This window comes from Homo sapiens, chromosome 8 (genome assembly GCF_000001405.40).
Source record: "Homo sapiens chromosome 8, GRCh38.p14 Primary Assembly".
Lineage (NCBI taxonomy): Eukaryota > Metazoa > Chordata > Mammalia > Primates > Hominidae > Homo > Homo sapiens.
The window spans coordinates 106,597,876-106,620,819 of NC_000008.11; the positions used below are offsets into that span (position 1 = coordinate 106,597,876).

General features: G+C 38.5%; 1 protein-coding gene and 1 long non-coding RNA gene across 11 annotated transcripts in view, besides 1 other annotated feature; one reads left to right on the forward strand and one right to left on the reverse strand.

The window, feature by feature from the left end:
• OXR1 (oxidation resistance 1) overlaps nt 1-22,944 on the forward strand; it is a 482,517-nt gene that overhangs the window by 327,698 nt on the left and 131,875 nt on the right. For 2 of the 9 annotated variants that reach the window (XM_017013590.2, XM_047421918.1), the window contains exon 1: nt 20,221-20,308. The exons of the other annotated variants lie outside the window; for them this stretch is intronic. In XM_017013590.2, the coding sequence (XP_016869079.1) occupies nt 20,290-20,308 (19 nt within the window). In that variant the 5' untranslated portion in view covers nt 20,221-20,289. Of the gene's footprint in view, nt 1-20,220; nt 20,309-22,944 lie in introns of those variants that run through there. 9 annotated transcript variants of the gene reach the window in all.
• Nucleotides 1-22,944, reverse strand: part of OXR1-AS1 (OXR1 antisense RNA 1) — a 140,687-nt gene that overhangs the window by 80,842 nt on the left and 36,901 nt on the right. The gene's annotated exons all lie outside the window — the stretch shown is intronic.
• Nucleotides 10,800-10,909: an enhancer, noted in NCBI's record as "active region_27800". NCBI's record gives its function as "activates an Ori minimal core promoter by ATAC-STARR-seq in GM12878 lymphoblastoid cells {active_cell/tissue: GM12878}" and the evidence as "EXISTENCE:reporter gene assay evidence [ECO:0000049][PMID:35858748]".

The following is a 22,944-nucleotide window of genomic DNA, read 5'->3' on the forward strand; positions in this document are numbered from 1 at the left end:
ATATCTAGCTACTTCCTTTCACTATTTGCTAAGCTCTCCCTTTCTTGCCTTTGGACTTTTGCACATACTATTTTTTGTCACCTCCTCTGGCCACCCTCTAAAGATTATCCCAGTCTCCACTTGGGCATCATTTATTTCCCAGTGCTAGAACCTCTCATACAAAATCATCTGAGTCCAGGGCCTTCCCCCTGTTCCACAGGCACCTCCTGGCCACTATAGTTTCTCTTAATATTTCTCCTTTAGAGTCCTACATGATGGTCCCCACCCCTCATCCAAACCTTTTAAACTTGTGGAGGAGCTTGAAGCTTAGATAGGGTGAAATCCGTAATCTAGGTCAGCCTTTTCTCCCCTTTTTGAATTTTTTTCTTGACCTTTCAAGATGAGAGATTAGTGGCTTAACACATGGCTTCTCTGAAAGTTTAATGTCTTATAAGGTATCTCCTTCAGACTCACTTCTGCTAACTTCAGTTTTTCCTGCCAGGTGCTTCCTGTCCTTATCACAGCTCTATCACTACAGGAGGAAAGGTAACTCCTGCCTCTCTTTCTGTGGGCCTCTCTAAAACTCCTCCAGTTTTGATAATAACTTACCAATCAATGTCTGGCAATTTCACAGTTCTGCGATTGTCCTCCCTGCTTCCTCTGTGGAAGCAAGCCCAGTGTGCTCACTGTGGTTTGATTCCTGCTTTCAGGAACCGACATGTCCAAAATTCAAAAGACAACTGTTTTTAAGCTACATATTATATAAGCTGTATAGTAATTCTAACTAATGCCTTTTAATATTTTTGGAAAGTTTACAAATATCCATAGAAAACAGAAGTCATGAGCTGAACAATTGCTAATTTTGAAGTGATTAATATTCATATTTACATAGTCCAGTTGGAATACATTCAGGATGAAATTTTAGTGTAAACTTCACCATTGAACAATATCTTCAAAAACTTAATCTCACAAGTGAGGGATATTTTGCCTCAGAAAAAAAATAAAATAAAACAAGAGGAGGCCCCTGATATTTTAAGCAAATATAATTACCTGAAATAGAAGCTGAATTTGTAAAGAATTATTTCTCGTGTCCTTAATTTTAAAAAGTATTACCTTCAGGTTTCATTTGATAAAACTTGGGAAATTATTTTAAAAATTAGCTTTTATTTTGGAGAAAATTATAAACACATGAGAAAGAGGGGACATTGTAGACAAGTTCAGTGGCTTCATTTAGTAGGCCTCATTTCATTTAAGGAGCCTAGCTGAAAGGCAAATGTGAGGATGACATTGCCTCCTTCTCATGCACAATGAGTAGTTTTCTTTCTCCCCAGTTGCTATTTATTACTGAAAGATGAAAATGTCAGTATTTCTTTTAACAGAAGCTAATGCAGCACCTCAGATGGTGAAAACTGGTGGCAGGACACAAAGTTACTCAACCAGAGTAGTTTAAAAGTGTGCACTTTTAAAATCAAATGTAATTGTAACTCAGTGGTCAAAAATGAAAAAGGATGCTGAGCCTGAATTCAATATTTCATGATTAGAGAGACTTCTTACTATATATATTTTTTCCTTCTAATGTCTGACCTGGATCATATTTATTCCTCAACCAGGAACAAAAGGAGATTCTTTAATTTTCTTTTGATCCACATGTGTATTGGATTGTTGTCAAATTTCTTACTGGAAAAGGTTAGGTTAATATTTTGATAACAGATAAAATCTTCAAAGTAAGCCAGAAGCTTAAGTAATGCAAGTTAGATTTCATGTGCTAGAATGTCAAGGATAAAGCGTAGAGGAAGGATTTGCAAGTCATCCATAAAATGATTATCCTTAGTGTAAAGTTTATATTCCTCCATGCCAACAACTCTTTTAACGTATTACCTTGTCCTTTATATTCAGGTGCCAGAAGAAACCTTAGAGCAGCAGTCCCCAACCTTTTCGGTATCAGGGACCAGAGAGACAATTTTTCCAGGGACCTGGGGTAGGGGTGTTGGGGGTTGGGGAGATGGTTTCTGGATGAAACTGTTCCACCACAGATGATCAGGCATTAGATTCTTATAAGAAGTGTGCAACCTGGATCCCTCACATGTGCAGTTTATATAGGGTTGATGCTTCTATGAAGATCTAATGCTGCCGGTGATCTGACAGGAGGCAGAGATCAGGCAGTAATGCTCACTTGCCCACTGCTCATCTTCTGCTTTGCAGACTGGTTCCTAACAGGCCAAGGGCCAGTACCAGTCTGTGGCCCTAGGGTTGAGGACTCCTGCCTTAGAGAGTCCAAGAGTAGCAAACCCATATACTTATTTGGGGCCAAGCAGTTACAATGGATGAGCATATCTGTCACTTGTAAGTAATAGGAGTAATGGAAACCATGGGAATTTGAGAGCATATGTCCTATTTAAAGATATTCAAATCAACTTAAAAATAAATGTTGTGCCTTCCATACAAAGTCCATCCACAAACCCAATGTGGCCTGTGGCTCTCCAGTTTTCTCCCCTTACAGTTTAGCCCGGCCTAGACTACAGTTTCTTCCAACCTCTCATCCAAGGCCTAGGTTCTTTCTTGAGCACTCCTACCAGTGGCCATTCAGCTTCTGTTTGAGCAATTCCAGTTGCAAGAATTTTGGGGGACTGTCAAGTCCTTTGCCAATCATATTAGTGGTGGTAGTGATGGTAGTATCTTTTGTGCTTTAGGATAAAATCAGAACAGATTAGTGAGTTTTAACAGTAGATTGCTCTGACCAACAAGGATCCAATGGACCTCTTTTTGTTTTGTGATTGTTCCTTGAGACTCTGTCCCTGTTGAGGATTATAATGCTTTGTTTCATGGAAGATATAGTCAGTTTCAGAACTGTACAATGTGATCTTACTTTTTCTTATATTATTCCAGGTTTACTTCTATGGCTCATGTCATATAGGCTGATCTCAGAAGGGCCTGCTTGCCATTAGCATTGGTTCACCCCATCACATGCTTACTGACTGATTTCTTCATGCTAGGCACTGTCTAATTACTGGGATACAGGAGACAAAAGGTCATAAAGAGCTATCCTTTCCTGGGGCTTACATTTTAGTTAGGGAAATAAATACAATCAAGAAAACAAAAACATGGTAATTAAATGTTCTAATAAATTCTCTGAAGGAAATAGAGGCTGGAGGAGGGAGGCAGGAGGTAGCCAGATCATGCAGCCTAGTAGACTTCCAGGCTATTAGGAGTTTGGAGTATTGTAAGAAAATAGTGAGAAGCCACTGAAGGATTTTAAGCAGAATAACTGATCTTAGGGCACTGTTTGCAAAGTGAGAACACTAACATATATTCAGTGTAGAAATTTGAGAAAATACCCAAAAAAGTTAAAAAGAATATCCATTATGCAAGAGACCATTACCCAGAGACAAGTCTGGTGTAGGATGGGAGGTATGGTAGCCAGAATTCTAAAATGGCTCCTGTCTTTATCTGTTCCGGCTGCTAAAACAGAATACCACAGACTGAGTAGCTTAAACAACAAACATTTATTTCTCACAGTTTGGAAGCTGGAAAGCCCAAGACTGAGGCGCAAGCAGATCTGGGTCTGGTGAAGCACTCCAGCTGGCTTGTAGAAGCCATCTTTTCCTTGTATCCTCACATGGAGAGAGCCCGGGCCCTTCCATCTAATATACTAGAAGGACACTAATTCCCTCATGGGTTCCACCCCCATTTCCTAATATAACCATGATTTTACCTTCTAAAGGCTCCGTCTCCTAATATTATCCTATTGGATTTGGGTTTGGGTTTCCATATATGAATTCTGGGGAGTCACAAACAGGCAGTTCATCACAGTTCCCAAGATTCCCATCCTCTGGTGTGCATTCCCTGGGTACTCTTTTCCTCCTGCCTATGGGAATGTGAACATGAATAAGATTTATCATTATTTTGATTAGGTTACATTATGTAGCAAAGGTGAAAGGATTTTTTAGAAATGTAATTAAAGTGTTTGATCAGTTATATTAAGTTTTTTAAGGAGATTATCCTGTGTGGGCCTGACCTAGTCAAGGGAGCCCTTTAAAAGAGGCTCTAGAGGTCAGAGACAGAAGTCAGAGAGATTCAGAGCAGTAGATGCGCTTTACTGTTGGCTTAAAGAAAATTGCTGTGTAGAGAAACCCAAGTGGCAAGAAGTGATGGGTGACCCTTCATTGCTGAGGGCCTCACTCCTACAACCGAAAGGAAATGTGTTATGACGCCCAGTGATCTTGAAGAGGCTCAGATCTGAGATTGCAACCCAAGCCAACACCTGGATTTCAGCCTAGAGAGAACCCAGGAAAGCCATGCCAGGATTCCTAGCCCACAAAACCGTGGGTAGTAAATTGTGAGAGAATAAATAATTGTTTTTTCTAAGCCACTAGATTTATAGTAATTGTTGCACAGCAATAGCAAACTCATACAAAGGGAATGACATGATTTTCTCTGTAACCAAACTGACTGGAGAGGGACAAGAGTAGAGGCCATTGAGAAAGTCACCGTCGTGGTCTAGGCAAAAGATAAGCATGGCCTGGAGTGGCTTGGAAAGAAGTAGACAGACTTTGAATTATGTTTTGGAAGTGAAACAGGGCTAGCTAGCTGATAAATACAGTTTGGAGGGTGAAAGAAATGAAATCGTCAAGAATGATTCTTACAACTTTGGTATAAGCAAATGAGTGGATGGTGGTGCTGTCTAGTAAATATTGAAAGAATAGGGAAGGAATATTTTGTTCTGTGGAGTTAACAAGAGTGGTGGAAGATGGTGTTCAGTTTTATTAATATTCTATTTTACCAAATTAGAAGTTAGGTGAACTTCATATACATATGTATGTGTATATATACATGTATATATGTATGCATGTTGTATTACATATGATTATGTGTTTATTTTATAAAAATTATGATAGTACATTTCTTCATGTTACTTTTTCTCCACTTAACAGTAAAAACATAAATATTAATAATTATAAAATATTCTACCCTGTGCAGTCCCTTATTCCTCTATTGTTTGTTTTTTGTTTTATTTTGTTTTGTTTGTTTTTTGCTTTTATGTTGTCCTAGTGAATATTCTTATCCTTTCAGGTTTATTCAAATGTATTAGATTACCCTTCAGAAAGATGATTTATATTTACATTCCTCATAATGGTATATAAGAAAGCTAGTTGACCCCATTTTCACCACTGGGTATTATTATTTTAAAAGCATCTTTGCCATTTTAAAGGTAAAAAAACTCACTTCTCTATTAATGTTTCATAGCCTGTATATCTTGAAGGTATGCTTCAGTGTTTTGTACTATTTCTTCTTGCCTGGCCTAACATCTCTCACTGTATTTGACATGCGTATGACTGGAGTCAGGTCCTGTTGTTAGTAAGAATGATGCCATTAAGTCACACATCCTCTGTGATAACATGGGTATTACCTCTGACATTTCTTGAGATTGTATCTAGAATCAGAAAGCCTTGATGCTGTCCTTATATACAAATCAGCTTTTTTCTAAAAACATACAGTGTATAGTTATTTTTACACCTTGCCTATATAAAATAAAAAGCAAAAAAAAAGTCAGTAACATTTTTCATCTGGCTTTTCTGTATTTTTTAAATGGTATATGGTAGATAATACTACCATCTTTTTCAGCTAAAACTGTCAAGTAAAACCTCCACAACGTATTTCAAGAATCAGTTATGAGAGGTGTATTAAGTGAATGAGAGTGTGTATTATTTAATAATAGCTCCCTTTGGGTGATGGGTTTATGATGGGTGATTGTTATTTTGTTTTTGTTGCTTTTCTATATTGCCAAAACTTTTAATATGGAACGTGTAATTCTCCCTTAAAAAGAAAGGTTTGAATAGAGCTTTAAATTTTAATAAAGAGTACTTTAAGATGTCTTAGAAAGCAAGTCTGTAAAATTGCTTTAAAAATCAAGAACAGGGCCGGGCACAGTGGCTCACACCTATAATCCCAGTAATTTGGGAGGCTGAGGCGGGTGGATCACTTGAGGTCAGCAGTTCAAGACCAGCCTAGCCAACATGGTGAAACCCCCTCTCTACTAAAAATATAAAAATTAGCTGGGCGTGGTGGTGCATGCCTGTAGTCCCAGCTACTCGGGAGGCTGAGGCAGGAGACTCGCTTAAACCCAGGAGGCGGTTGTTGCAGTGAGCCGAGATAGTGCCACTGCACTCCAGCCTGGGCAACAGAGTGAGACTCCATCTCAAAAAACAAACAAACAAACAAACAAAAAACAGAAGAAACCTGAACACTTGCAGGGATTAAATGGGAAAACTTTTTAAAAAGCAGGTGTATACCGTCTATTAACTGTGTGCCATAGCACTTGGCCACAAACCAAGTATACTTTTGAAACCCCTAACTAATCTTTAAATATATTTTCAAACACCTTTTAAAAATGTGTCAGGGGCAAAAATGTCAAAAGCATTATGACTCCTATGGGTGAAGGGATAAGCCACGATGCTTGAAGTCAGGGGTCTTGGCTTTCACAGGGAAAGACAGGATTTCACCATGTTGTCCAAGCTGGTCTCAAACTCCTGACCTCAAGTAATCCACCCGCCTCGGCCTCCCAAAGTGCTGGGATTACAAGTGTGAGCCACCCGTATACAGTATTATTGATATCCTCCAAACCAGATAGGATATTTAGCTTTTTGTAAAATTCTATAGGTATTAAAGCTTGCAGCATTAAAAAGCACTGCTTTTGAACTCTGACAGATGCAGACAATATATCCAGTAACAAAACTGAGTTTCTTTACTAACATATTTTGATAGCGTGACCTTAAACTTGAGACAAAAAGGAGAGAGGAAGAGTTTTATTGAATAAACGTTTCTAGGAAACAGATGCTTAACAAATGGTTGTACAGCTGTTTGCAATAACATGGAAGAAGCCTATCTTTCGATAATTGTGACATAAGTTTTTCTTGTTTGTTCTCCTAGAGTTGTCTGCAAAAAGTTTATGTAATATGCCTGAAGGTTATACTAAGAAGGAAGCATTTCAGAAATGATTGAAGCTGTTTATCTGTGTGCAAAAGCCTGTAAGTGTGTTTGTGTGGGCCTGGGCACGTGTATATGCCTGTGATTCACACATTTCTTTTCACAAAAGATTTGAGGTCACTCAGGATGTCATTCATCCTGGGTAAAAGCCACCTCAGATTACAAGCAGTTAATAGGTCAGATGCTACATAATGCTCTCTTCAACTTAGATTTCTTAAAATCTTACAAGTTGAAGGAGGTGAGAGCCTGGGACTTTTAATTTGCACTGGGGCAAAATCGTTCCTTTGTGCTGAAAACATGTGGCTGACAAGATGCCACTGGGAAAGCCAAGCTTTTTTAGAAGAGTTTGCTGTATAATTCATAAAGATAAAATCTGTAATATTTTATACTTGAAAGCTAAAATTTTTTAAAAAGACATTATCCAAATCAAAACTCTAGCAATTAAAACACACAGATAGGGTATGGTTGACTTTCTGCAATGCTAATCTGGTTTCTGTCTTAGGTCTATTTGTACAGGACAGATATTCTACTTTATTCTCCAACAAGACTCAGCCTGGAGTTGCCTGGTGACCTGCTTTAATTGAGCCAACCACATTCTGTAGGGGAAAAGCCAGACCAGAAATAGCTAGGATTTAATGGTGAGAACAAAGGCATTCCTAAAATCCTCAAATCTGGGCCTAGCATGGTGGCTCACACCTGTAATTCCAGCACTTTTGGAGGCTGAGGCAGGTGGATCACCTGAGGTCGGGAGTTCCAGACTAGCTTGACCAATATGGTGAAACCCCGTCTCTACTAAAAAAAAAAAAAAAAAAAATTAGGCGGGCATGGTGGGCGCCTGTAATCCCAGCTACTCAGGAGGCTGAGGTGGGAGAATCACATGAACCCGGGAGGTGGAGGTTGCAGTGAGCCGAGATGGTGCCACTGCACTTCAGCCTGGGTGACAGAGGGAGACCCTGTCTCCAAAAAAAGAAAAAGAAAAAATAAAATAAAGGAAACACAAAAAACACCTCAAATCTGATATCTCCCACTTCCTACTTAGGTTGAAACAACATATGACTTCTCTAAGTCTCTATTTTTATTTTCAATAAAATGTGGATGATAATAATAAAATGTGGATGATAATCCCACCTCACTATGGGATGCAAAGTGTTTACCAGATGTATTATGTTTCCTATTGCAGTTGTGACAAGTCATGCAAAAGTTAGTGGCTTAAAACAAATTTATTATATTAAGTCCCAGCATTCTGAAGTCCAAAATGCATCTCACTGGGGCTAAAGTCGAGGTGTCAGTAGGTCTGTGCTCCTTTCTAGAGGCCCTGTGGGAGAATCCATTTTCTTGCCTTTTCTAGCTTCTAGAGGCCCCCTACTTTCCCTGGCTCTTGGCCACCTACCATCGTCAAAGCCAGCAATGTCCCAGCAAGTCTTCCTTAGAGCATATCACTATGATACTCTTTATTTATTTATTTATTTATTTATTTATTGAGACAGAGTCCCACTCTGTTGCCCAGGCTGGAGTGCAGTGGTGTAATCTCGGATCACTGCAACCACCACCTCCCAAGTCCAAGTGATTTTCCTTCCTCAGCCTCATTAGTAGCTGAGATTACAGGCATGTGCCATCATGCCTGGCTAATTTTTTTTTTTTTTTTGTATTTTTACTAGAAACAGGGTTTCACCATTTTGGTCAGGCTGGTACCAAACTCCTGATCTCAAATGATCCGCCCGCTTCAGCCTCTCAAAGTGCTAGGATTATAGGCATGAGCCACTGCACCTGGCCACTATGATACTCTTGATATCATATGATAGCTCTTGCTTCCCTCTTCCACTTGGACCTTTTTGATTACAATGGGCCCACCTGGATAATTCAGTATAATTTCCCATCTCACAGTCAGCTGCAACCTTAATTCCATCTGCGTCCTTAATTTCTCTTTGCCAAGTAAGGTAGCATTCACAGATTCCAGGGATCAATATAAGAATATTTTTTAGGGGGTCATCATTCTGCCTACCTTGTTGGAGTACCTGCTACTAAATAAAAACACCAGGAATGGTAGTTTTTGCTGTTCTTAACCCAAAGGAAGAAAGAGCCCTTCTCTGAATGGTTTTTGTTGTTTAGTTAAGAAAATGCCAACTGACCAATGTCCCAGAAACCAAATGGGTGTAGAGCCCTAGCATGCTTCATTTCAACACCTTTCACAAACAGTAGTTTTGGCACTTTGCCTACCAAGCTGAAAAACAAAGAGCAGGGTTGTTATGTCTGACCTAAATACACATGGTCTGTAACTTTCCTCTTCTCTCTCCATACCTCTTCCCTTCTTGAAGATATTTTACTGCTGGGGTATCAACTTATTTACATGTAGCTGACTCCTCAGAAGCGGAACTTGAATGCCAGCCATTCTGTCGAGCTTAAAGCACCACAATCCAGCTGTGAGCTAGGCAACTTTCCCCTTATATTTTGTGTGCCTCTGAAAACATCTCCAGAATTCAAATGACCATTTTTGACATAAGTTATCCCTTCCTCCCCTCTGATTGCAAGGGCAGCATCACTCTTTCTGCCATGCATAAGTCAACATTTGGAGTCAATAGCCCTCTTGTACTAACACTTTCACAGTCCTCTCAAGTAGCCTTCCTCACTGTATTATCCAAGTTCAAGGATTGCTTACACTTACCTGGACTACAGGCAAAGCCTCAGAACCATCTCCTGCCTTCCTTCACTGATTTGTGTCATCACTCCCTGGAGGTCTCAGGTCCCTCCTTCTCATCTCTTCTTCCTTAAATCGATCCTTCTGCCTTAAATCAGCCCTTCTGCTTAGCATTAAATAAGTCTTTGTCAGCATGCCAAAGGGTGCAGGGAACTATTTTTAAGCAGCCACCATATGCCAGACATTGTGCTTAGACATTTTGCATACATTATCTCATTTAATCCCAACTTAATGACCTAGCAGGTCGATGTTATTTCCTCTTTCTTTTTCTTTTTCTTTTTCTTTTTTTTTTTTACTAGTGAGGTAACTGGGACATAGAGAACTTTATGTAATTCAGCCAAACCTACACAGTATGTAGCAAAGAGTTCAGACTCGGCTGTGTCTTTCTTTAAAGCCTCTAGTTTTACCACTACATTAGACCCGTCATTTGACTTTATTTTGAAGGTATCTATTTTATTAGGGTGGGCACTGGGCACTGTGGCTCATTGCTGTAATCTCAGCACTTTGGGAGGCCAAGGCAGGAGTATAGCTTGAGGCTAGGAATTTGAGGCCAACCTGACCAATGCAGTGAGACCCTCATCTCTAAAAAAACATTATTTTTTTTAAACTGGTCAGGCACGGTGGTATGTGCCTGTAATCCCAGCTATTCAGGAGGCTGATGCAGAAGGATCATTTGAGCCCAGGAGGTCAAGGCTGCAGTGAGCTATGATTGCATCACTAGACTCCAGCCTGGGTTACAGAGCGAGACCCTGTCCTCTGTCTCTAAAAAAGCAAAAAACAAACAAACAAAAACGATGAAAAAAAAATCCATTTTATCAAGGCTTACCTGTGCTCATGTACTTTATGGGCAAATCTTTCAATGGCCTAATGACAAACATATTATGGTTGGGTCATCTTGGTGGTGGTTTCTGTGGGAGGCTAAAGACTGCTATGTGTACTATTTTTTATCAGAGATCTAGTACTGTCAGACATCTGCCTTTGAAGTGGCTTGTGGATTAATCCAGGTACATTTCTCATATTTTTTGAAAAGGATGGGTTCTGAGGGAAGGAAATAATTTTTCTATATGCGAGAGGCTTTGAGTCACAGTAAGTTAGAGCTCTTGTGGAGGTAAATAATCTTGATAAATCTGTTCTTTGTCATTAGAGATCAACTCTCAGTACCCAGTGACAGGCCCAAACATGCTTTTATTCTTTGACCAAAACACCCACAAAGGAAACAGAAACCAGTTTAGCAACTTTGCAAGTGGGTGCAGAAGTATTCCTATAAATAAAGCTGCTCATTGTGCTTCTCTGGTCATGTTAGGTTTGGAATGCTGATGGGTTTATATCGTCCTACTCTGAATTCTTAGTGACAACATTGTGAATTTAGTTCTAGCTGATGCTTGCTACATTGCATTTTTTAGTATTTGAATTCTGCTACTCCTTAAAGGTGACTGAAATCATAAAGCCCATTTTGTAGAATGAACTTTGTTCCCCACTTATCACTCCACCATATGCTTTCCTGATTGCTTTCTGTTTTTACTTTCTTGAAGAGAGAAAAACATAACATAACTCAATCTTAGTTGATCTTAGTAAAAGGAAGAATGTGTGGGCAGTGGGACGTGGTGGGTCATGCCTGTAATCCCAGCACTTTGAGAGGCTGAGGGGAGAGGATCGCTTGAGCCCAGGAGTTTAAGACCAGCTTGGACAAAAAAGAGCCCATCTCAAAAAAGTAATAATAATAATAACAACAACAATAATAATAAAAGGAAGAGCACTTCCTGGGCCTTGAGAAGTCTTCTTGCTCACAAAGAAGCATCAAAGCAAGTGCTATATACACAGGAGGTCAGTTTGGGCAACTCTTTTTTAATCACATAGTAGCTTTGCCCTCATGGATTCTAAGTAGATAGATAATAGAAAAGTTGTAAGAAATGGTCTTCAGTAATATAAGGAAATACTCTTTCAAACCTATTACTTTTTTATCGGAAGGAAAATTTAAACAGAATCAACTATTCTACATAGGTCTTAGGTTTTTGTGTAATTGTGAAAACAACATAGCAGAAGAATTAAGACTTTAACCTGAAAATTAAAAGTGCTCTCTGGAGTCATTATTGGGTTAATTGTCAAAGTTAGAATGCAGATGACAGATTACAGAAAAGTATTCCATTCATGTGAAATTTTCCAAAGTTGAAAGTTACACTATGGTTATATAAAAGACTACCCATATTTATAGGAAATATACATTTCCTATTTAGAGGTAAAGGGCTATGATGCATGTAATTTACACTCAAATGGTTCAATAAGTATATATGTGTGTGTGGTATGTATATAACACACACACACACACATTTATGAGAGAAAGAGAACACAAACAGAAAGCAAATGGGATAAAGTATGAACAATAGTTGAATATAGGTAAAGAGTATATGTTTTTCCTAAACGATATCAGTTCACATCTGTGGGAAGATGATGCTCAAATTTAAATTTCTAGCCCAGAAGATTATCATAAACTCTAGACCCATAAATCCAATTGTTCACTAGTAATATACAGTAAAATATTTCACAGGTGTTTTAAAATCAACCTTTTGATTTTTTTTTTTTTTTTATAATTTACCCCTTTAAGCCAGTTGCCTTCAGTGTTCTTTGGCACCAAACTAGATTCTTTCCTCTCCCTCCCAAGTCCCCACCAACACTGCTACAATCCAAAAATTCTGTCTATTCAACCCTGCAAATTCTCATCAGTTGATCCACTTCTGTCAATCACTGCTGCTATTATTCAGCTTCATATATCACACAGTTTATAATCATCATCTTCTAAGTAGTCCCCTGCATTCAGGATGTGCCTCCTCCAATCCATCTTCTCATTTGCAGCTAATTTCAGATGTTCAAATCTGATCTTGTTCATGCTCTGCTTAAAAGCTGAAGTATCTCTCTGTTACCCTCAGATCAAAATCCAAATCCTCAATACAATTACAATGCATGTGAAGACACTGGTTCTTGCTTATTTTTCTAACCTCATCTCTCTCCTCTCATCCTACCATCGTTTATCCTATCCTGTCTCGTACCATGCCACAGTCTCATTCGACTCCTTTCAGTGGAAGTTCCTCTGGCTGCCAGGCCTCTGCCCATGCTAGTCTCTCTGACTTGAGCACTTTCCTTTTCCCCTGCTCCCAACTACCTGTTCAATACATAATCCTACTTGCCTGACTTACTCTTTCCTCCTTTAAATCCCAACTTAGATGACATTATTCGAAGAAACAATCATGACATCCCAAGTCTGATCCAACCAATAATTAGATGCAAATTTAAAATAAAGTAATAAGATTCTGCCTGTTTTTAAACTAGCATAAAGCATGTACACAGTCCTTCCGTCAATAAGGTTTTCCTTAAACATTTATTAAATATCTGTTCTATGCCCAGCAACTTCTGATTGGGTCATTGAACAGATATTTATTTATTGATCTCCTACAGTGTTCCAGACACTATTTTGGGTGCAGTGAACATTCTTAGAACTTAGATTCTAATAGAGGTGACTAATCACAAACAATGAGATGGGTAGTATCAGTTAGTGATAAGTGGTACGAAGAAGAAACTTGTACAGGGTGCTGACCTAGATACAGTAGTCAGAGAACACCCCTCTAAAGAGGAGGTATGTAAGTTGGGACCTAAATAGAATGGCAGAGCAAGGGCTGGCCAATGTCTGGGGAAGAGCATTCTAAGAAAAGAGAAACTGCAAGTGCAAAGGCTTTAAGATAGGAGCATGCTTGGTGCATTCAAGGACCAGAAAAGAGGCCTGTCTGTGTTCAACTCAGTGAGCAAGATGTGTTGGTGGAAAGGAGTCCTGAAGGCCAGAACCTGGAGTGTTGAGCAGTGAATGTGCTTTGTCAGGTTCAGTTTAACTCTGTACGCATTTCATTTGTCCAAATAACTTTGTGAGTGAATGGAGAACACAAACTGGGCTGCATTTTGTATGGAGGTCAAGGGTGATCGAAAGAGAGCATCCCTAGTAAAAAGTTATTTCCCTAAGGGTTAAAGATTGAGAATTGGATAGACCCTGGAGAACCAGAAGGGTGATGTCAGAAAGGTAGAAGTAAGTAGATCAAAGTGTTTGTCCCACGCAAATTGGCAGCGCTTGTCAGAGTGTCTTGGCATCTAATCTCTCCCCTCTGCCCTTTCCCACCCCCATTCATTCCTAACTGTTCCAAAATTAACTTAGAACATCTTTATTCTTTGCCAGCATTAGGTGGGGATGGAGAGTCCTGTTGCCTGTAAACAGCAGTGACTTTTGTAAGGAAGTATAACATATTGTTTAAAAAAATAAAATAATGAATTCAGTTTTTACATCAGTTTTCGGCACAGTGGCCTAAATAGACCAAATGTAGCATACTTTTAATTTCTATACCTTTGTATGGTAAAAACACATAAAAACAAAAAAAAAATAGGTCATTCTGTTTTTCGTGAGAACTGCCTTATTTCCAGGATTAATTCTGTATGACTGAGAGAGCTTGAATTATTTCCAAAAGGATAGCTTTGCATTTTCTTTTCTTGTTAATCAGTCTCTACTCATTTCATAATTTTCTCCTTCAGTTTTTTTTTGTATTTGAGCTTTGCTTTTTCCCTTTTCTCATGTTCATACCTTAAAGATTGTCTACCTTTTGTAGAAAAAAATATTATTCTGATAGGAATACTTTTTAAAATTTGTGTGAAAGAAATGTAAATACATATATAAGATAGAAAGGAAACTGGAGAAGAAAATAATATGGAAATGAAATAGTATATATAAGGCATATAGGTTAAGTCCAGTGAAACTGTATAAGGTAAACATATACACTGTTAAGCAGTCTCCAAAGCATGATTGATGTAAGTACCTAAACAATAACTTTATATAATTTTGGGGGGGTATAATAACCTTCATATATAACTTGTTACATATGTATCATTCATTTTCTTCAGATGACTTTTTATAGAAGCTTGAAATTCAAGCTCAAAACTCATTTCTTATTATGATCTGAGAATTTTTTCTTTAATTCATTTCCTTTCTGCATCTCTTATGACAATTTTGTATTTTCTAAGTCAGATAGTTAAGAAAATCTTTGTTTTCAGGAGTTCATCATAATGCATTTCTATATGTTTAGGACTGTATTAACATTGTTTATTTTGACAGAGCAGGCAAAATGTGAAGTACCTACATACACTTTTATGGCTCTCACTTCTTGAAAATTTTAAAGCATTTATTGAGTATTTATTACATTCCAAGTACTATTCTAAGTATCTTACATGTATTAAATACTTTAATTCTCACACAGCCCTACGAATACTAAGATTCTAGTTTTACAGGTGATGAAACTGAGAGGCAGGTGGGTTAAGTAATTGGCCCTACACCTCAAGGCTAGAAAGTGAAGGAACTGAGATTTGAACCCTGGTCAACTATCTTCAGAATCATAACTGCTCATCACTCTGCAACACGTGCTTTCAGGCAAGCGTTAGTCAGTGCAGCTCAGGGAAAACAGGAGGCAAGTTGACTACTTATGCAGATTGCTGAGAAATATAACAGGAGGGAAGAACAGAATGGAAAACATGCTTCTTACCTAATATGAGACATTTTTCCCTAGGGAAAACAGAACTTTGGCTATTTCCCTTCAAGCAGAAGAAAATATGTTCACACAGAGGGAAAGAGGAGGAAATGAAAAGGGCTGTTTGGATCAGATGGCTGAATCGCCAGTAACCCGAGTGCTTAGCGTAGGCTGCTCTCAAACGTATAGTTGCTCATTAAACTTTAATTTTCATTGCATGCTACCTGATCTGGTTTAGTGAAGGCTCTTTTATGCAACCTAAACTTATGGGAATTTTGTGATGTATTTAATTTCCACAAAACCTAACATACTTGATATGTCCTTCTTTTTGAGTCAGAGTTTCGCTCTTGTTGCCCAGCCTGGAGTGCAATGGCACGATCTCGGCTCACTGGAACCTCTGCCTCCCAGGCTCAAGCAAGTCTCCTACCTCATTCTCCCAAGTAGCTGGAAATACAGGCATGTGCCACAATACCCAGCTAATTTTTGTATTTTTAGTAGAGACAGAGTTTCACCATGTTGGACAGGCTGGTCTCGAACTCCTGACCTCAGGTGATCTGCCCACCTTGGCCTCCCAAAGTTCTGGGATTACAGGCGTGAGCCACTGAGCCCAGCCTGTTATGTCCTATACATATCAGCCAACCATAACTGTCAGTGTAAGTAGTTCAAAATTTCTCCTAAGAATTACTCTTAAACACCTACTCTCTTCCCCTGAAAATGAGTTAACTACTTAGTAAGTAACCTTTCTCACAGAAAAACTAGATGTTTTCTCTGGAATTCTTTCCCTTGCAGCCATCCCCTGGAAAGCCTTGTTTTAGAACTGACACCATTTATATGGCTTGGCATCTCGACTGCATTTGTTTCCCCATCTGGCACTTCTCGGGGTGAAAGTGTTCATTTTGGTGTTCTGCAGAGTGCATTTTGAGAAATGTGTACACACTACAAGTGAAATTCACATCTCAGGCTAAGACTATACCCTCAGCATTGCAATGTGATATTAGCAAAAGTGCTTTTATAATCCTACCTGCCAACAATTCACATCTATAATTAGGAAAACTACATGATTTCAAAATTACCCAAGTCTTGGAAAGGCTTGTTTTTACCATATGTTTTTCTTTTGTAAAAGGTCTATTATTTTCACCGTCTTAAAAAAGGTTCAGTTTGATCAAGTTCTAATTATATTCTCAAGCACATTTTTCAATCCCATAAAAATAAATCAATAAACCTAGACATTTAAGTCACTTTATCACAACTTGGTCAATCTACATGGTGTGACAACAGATATAAGGAAAGTAGATAAGTCCGCTAGGATATAAAGAACCAACTTACAGTAAAATAAATAACTAAACTAGAAAAAGAATCTAGAATAAAAACTAGAGATGTAGAAGCAAGAGCATTTTTGACTGCCGTAAATCAGAGCTTCTTAGCAGCCCACATCCCAAAAGTGGTAGATAGCCAATATTTGTCAGAAATGATGATTGTATACCTAGTGGACAGCTCTAAGCACAATTATAAGATTGATTTCGTTTTACAAAACCTTGAAAGAAGTAAACTTAACTGACCAGTGACTTGAGTCTAGCTCCTATCAGATTCCCAATGAGAGCAAAGAATAAAGAACAAATGGCCAAATATTGGGAAATAGGTATCTTATAGATATGACATATAGATAAATAGATATATTTACTTATATACATACTGTCATATGACCAATTCATAGGTGTGTTTGATATGGCAGTGTGTGTGTGTATGGTTTTATAACTCTCTCATTCATATTCAGACACAATGCAAATGTAGATAGTATTACTATACCATCTATTTGAGATGTAAATATTGTAAAAGCCCTCCTTTGCATATTCCGCAGATGCTAAAAACCACATGTATTTATGTTTTGTTTGGGGTGCTGCTTCTGTGTGTATGAGTTTTATTGTTACATGAAGTCTTGCTTTAAAAATTTGGCTGGGCATGATGGCTTATGCCTGTCATCCTAGCACTTTGGGAGGCCAAGGCTGGTGGATCACTTGAGCTCAAGAGTTTGAGACTAGCCTGGGCAACATGGAGAAAAATAGGCCAGGCGCGGTGGCTCGTGCCTGTAATCCCAACACTTTGGGAGGCCGAGGCAGGTAGATCACTTGAGGTCAGGACTTTGAAACCAGCCTGACCGACATGGTGAAACCCTGTCTCTACTAAAAATACAAAAAATTCAGCCAGGCCTGGTGGCACATGCCTGTAGTCCCAGCTACTCAGGAGGCTGAGGCAGGAGAATCACATGAACTCAGGAGGTAGATGTTGCAGTGAGCCAAGATTGCGCCACTGCACTCCAGCCTGGGCAACAGAGTAAGACTCCGTCTCAAAAAAAAAAAGAAAAAAAGATGGCCGGGATGGTGGCAAGCACTTAAAGCCCCACAGCTCCAGTAAGTCCGGAGGCTGAGGTGGGAGGATGGCTTGAGCCCAGGAGGCAGAAGTTGCAGTAAGCCGAGATCAGACTGCTGCACTCCACTCTTGGCAACAGAGACAGAATCTGTCTCAAAAAAAAAAAAAAAAAGGAAAAAAATGCCAATTCATTCTTGCTTTCTACCTGCTGCTGTTGTTTTCCAGAAGTCTGCAGCTATGCTGAATGATTTGAACAGGAACATCAAGGCATCTTCAAAACATTTCTGTTCTCTCCTTATGCTCACCTTATAAAGCTGCAAGGAAACATTGTGTCATTAATTTTCTATACATAGCGTGCTTGGCAAATCTTGGAGAATAAGCAACATCTCCCAGGGTGGTTGTGTGCATAACATGAGAATATTCGTTGAAGCACTTTGTAAACGATAAAACATTACACATAGTAAGTCATTGTTATCATTGGCATTACTTTAATGTAGTAGAATGGAATCCAGGACTGGAATAAGCCATTCATGTCACTAAGGAAGAGAATGGAAATTAATATCCAATGAAACACCTTCTTTTTTTTTTTTTTTTTTTTTTTGAGACGGAGTCTTGCTCTGTCTCCCAGGCTGGAGGGCAGTGGCAATGGTGCGATCTCAGCTCACTGCAAGCTCCGCCTCCCAGGTTCACGCCATTCTCCTGACTCAGCCTCCTGAGTAGCTGGGACTACAGGTGCCCGCCACCATGCCTGGCTAATTTTTTGGAATTTTTTTTTTTTTTTTTTTTTTTTTGTAGAGACAGGGTTTCATCATCTTAGCCAGGATGGTCTCGATCTCCTGACCTCATGATCCGCCCACCTCAGCCTCCCAAAGTGCTGGGATTACAGGTGTGAGCCACCGCGCCCAGCCAAACACCTTCTTATAGCAGAGTACCAGGAGCTTAACTAGAAGTTTTACATAAGTTACCTCATGTATTGAACAGCATTCATAGGAAATACTGGAACTCTTAAAGGAACCAAATAGAGTTTGTATTGAATACAAATGTAGCTCCATAGAGAAGATTAGACATCATGAATTTTCATTTGAGAATGAATCATCTTGCCAATTTATATCATTTTCCTGCAAAAGCTTATTGGCTTGGTCATGTACTTTACTAGTCAATGACCAGTTATTATGGAGTTGTCAGAACTTGGCCAAGACCATAAGCTCTATATTACATGCAAAATCTTAGTATTATTACTATTTATACAACTTCAGCGTTGTGAACTGGTGGCACCATGAACTCCATTTTCTTCGTGATCATTGTCACTTCATCACCTTGTACTAACTCTGCACGTGGTTTTTGACAATTTGTTTATCTTTTAAATTTACCCCTGAAGCCCACCTGTTTGGGCATCCATTAGTTCTTAGACTCATGAAGATCTTCACCCACTGACTTGACATTGTCTGTTCTCAATGGTTGTGATCTCTGCCCTCAAATAAAATATGATGTTACAGTATGTATATATCTCAGTGAGTTGCTGTTGAAGGGTCTCATAAAAATGTGATGACAGGGAAGAAGGAAAGGCAGTTTTCCACCACAATCCTCTCCAGGATTCTAAAGTTTAAGGACATAAACAGTAAGTCAGAAGCAGCCGGGCTATAGGTGCTGCCCTTTACTTCTACCGGGATAACAGGGAATGTGGATTAAAAGGGGGCTAAGGGCTCATGCCTGTAATTCCAGCATTTTGGGAGGCCAAGGCGAGTGGACCACCTGAGGTCGGGAGTTCAAGACCAGCACTGACAACATAATGAAACCCCATCTCTACTAAAAATACAAAAATTAGCCGGGCATGATGGCGTGTGCCTGTAGACCCAGCTCCTCAGGAGGCTGAGGCAGGAGAATGGCTTCAACCTGGGAGGCAGAGGTTGCAGTGAGCTGAGATGAAGATGGCGCCACTGTACTCCAGCCTGGGTGACAGAGCAAGGCTCCATCTCAAAAAAAAAGGGGGGTGGGTGCTAAGTACAAAGAAGGAAGTTATTACTACTTTTATCCATTCTTTTAATTACTAAGCAGTTAGTGCTGTTGTGTGGACTTTCTTCTTTCCCTCCTAGGGAAAAAAGACTAAAATAAATAACTATAATGCAAAGCAGTGTGAACTATATCCATTATGATGCAATTGGAAGTTCTGGATGCAAAACATCAAAATTATGTTCTGACAATGGCTAGCAGTATTTACATATCTATAAAGGTACAGAACACCAGCCTGGTTCATACTCAGCTTATCAAATCTGCTACCTGTTGTTGCTATTAGGACTATAAAATAGAGATTTGTTAAAGGTGGCCATGCCATTTATTTACTTTATGATAAGAAATTGTACAGAGGCTAGATATTGAGTCTTGTGATCTCACTCCATGATAGACTTTACAGTATCAACTTAGTAACGTATCATACAGAGCATGTCGTCGTCACCGTTTCTAAAATGTTCAGTGAGCCAAGAGCAAGTCCACAGTCACAGGGCAGGTACAGTGAGTTTCCTGTGTGCAGAAACAGAAACCTCTGAATCTTGCACACTGCCACCAGGGGTCAGGGACCGGGCGGGAGGAGAAGGCACTCTGGCAGAAAGGAAATGTTATATTACCCTGAGAAGCACAGGAATCAAAATTCCTGTCTCCTCTTCTTGAAAGCAGCTCACTGCTAGCTGAGCAAGGTTCGAAGGAAGGACCTCAGAAATGTTCTGCCAGCGCAAAGGTATGTGTAAGTGCTCTCTTAGTGGCTTTAAATAAGTTATTTTGGAAAGTCAGATACAGCGGACATTAAAGGGCACACTTTATGTTGCATTTTCAAAGTCCAGATGAGCTGTATGGATCTGTGACGATGCAGTTGGAGGTTCTATAGCTACTGCCTCCAAAATGCAAATGTTTGGCTGGGGAGGTTAGGAGGGATTAAACTGTGTCAGAACACTGAATCTAAATAGAATATCTTTCTAAAAAGACTTTACATGTGTGTAAATTATTTCTCTATGATTTGCTGTAGATACTGCTGCTAATTATGATTCCATAAGTACTCCCAGAAATAGATTCAGACATAATGATTTTGAGTCTCTTCATGTCCAGTGGCCATTTGTAACAAGTCCTTAGCGATTTATTTTTTATTCATTCATAGGACAACATTTGTCAGTAAGATTTCCATGTTGCCTTACCTTATTCTTCACTCAAAAATTGTCCCTAACTCGGGTAATGGCAGTGATCAAGTCACATGCTCTCACTTTTGTCACCACTGTATTCTGGGTTTCAAAGACTTGTAATTCATTTCATTAAGACTCTCCAAACCATCCCCTTAAACATTTGTTTAAATGTCTCTGTTCTTCATTAGCGTTTTATTACGTTACATTCTCTAGGCTCCAGAAAAACGAGGCAAGAAATAGGAGGATTTTTTTTTTTGCCTTTTTTCTTTTTTTTGGTTGAAGTTTTGGTCAAACAAGCCAAAATAACATTATCATTAAACAGATCGACCTGTACTTTTAAATGGAAGGAATAAAGATATAAAAAGAACTGAGGCGTGTAAGTAACCTCTTTGATTTTTAATGGCATGCAGCAGATGGAATTCATTATTGACTTTAAAAAATGAAATTGCTCTGCATTATTATTTATTTATAGTTTTGCCTTTCAAAAGAAGTAATTACCATTACTAGGTTAGTTTTTCCTCAATCACAAGCAACTGTGTGACAGTATCAGAATGTATAATATACTTTACCACTTATTTAGACATGAGGCTTAATGATGTTGCAGGACATTATCCCTTTTTAAGTTAGTAATAAATTTATGAGCATAATGCACAGCTAAGAGGTTGACTATCTTTTCTTTTTATCTGGGTAATTTCAAAAGCAATTATTTCATATCATAAGACAATTTATTTATGAAATTCTCATTGCTGAAACAAAAGTGTTTTTAATTAGAAATAATCTAATTTCATTTTTCCAGTTCAGCACACAGATACTGTGATGATAATCATAATTTATACAAAATTATCAAGTGAAATGTTTAGGTGATTGGTTTTGAGCCCAAACAATTTTTTAATTTTAATCACAAATTCTAAAACTTTTAAGTCATTGGGGAGGTTGATAACCAGTCATAACAAAATTTAATTTTTAAGCAATGCCAAATATTTAATCAATTATATCTAGTTCAAATTTGAGAGGTACTAAAATTGCCTTTGTAATAAAAAAATACACAAGAAAGGATAAAAATTTTTAGTATTAAACATGGAGCTGTCAACGCTATAAAAATGTATGAACCCCTTTTCAAAGCTGATGTTTTAAGGTATCATTTCATATACAGGACAGCATTTATATTTAATAAGATCAGGAGATTTGGCGTGAGCAGGATTCAGACCACTTTTGAATTTCAATGAAACTCCTGGTTCAATTAGATCCCTCTTCCCATCCTTCTTACCCCTCCCCAGCCCATTCTCCTTTCCCCTTGCTGCTTCTGCCTCTGTATTCCTCTCTCTCCTCCTCCCTCCTATGCCTTATATCCTCTTGGCACTTTTACACTGAGACATCTACAAGTGGATCTGCTGTCTTCAGCAGTGGTCATTGTTGTGAAACTGAAGGATAGCAATGAATATTTCATATATAGCACTTAAACCTCTTCATCTAGATTATGCATTTTGCTTCATTGTACCCATCCATAGGCACTTAATAAGTGCTTATCGATTGTCTAGTGAGATTGTATTATAACTGATTTTGAGACTTTTCATACCCTCTGCAGTTACTAGTACTATATTTCTTTGATTCTAAGATGTACATTTTTTTCAAATTTTAACTTTTTAAAATCTAAAATCACCTTGTGATCAAGCTGTATTGTGATTTAATTGACAGTTTTTTTTTCAATCTTTCTTTCTTGGTCATGCGTCTCACAATCAGTGGTATCTTAGATTGATGAAATGCAGCAGTGAAAATATATACCTAAGTTTGTGACTTGTATAATATGTTAAAGGCCATATATTTGGAACTTCATAAAGTCTTCTTTTTTCCTTACGTGGCTTATCTGTGGCCAATTTTTGTCTCTCCTCACTACATTCTTCCACTCTGGCTTCCTGGCACTGTGGTTCTAACTGTTCTTAGGCCACTGTCTTGACTGAACTCCCTGGAAAATACTCAGAGAATTTTATTAGTAATTACCAATATTCAACTGTAATGAAATGGACAGGGAACAAGTTTTTAAAACTGAAGACCCACATTCAAGTTATGTTTCTGCTCATTAAAAGCTATGTGTATTTAGCAATCTGATAATTATTCCCAGAGCTTCAAATTACACATCTAAAGAAGGAAATAATACAAATAATTTCTTTATCTATAAATTAAGACAATTAGTAAAAAATAT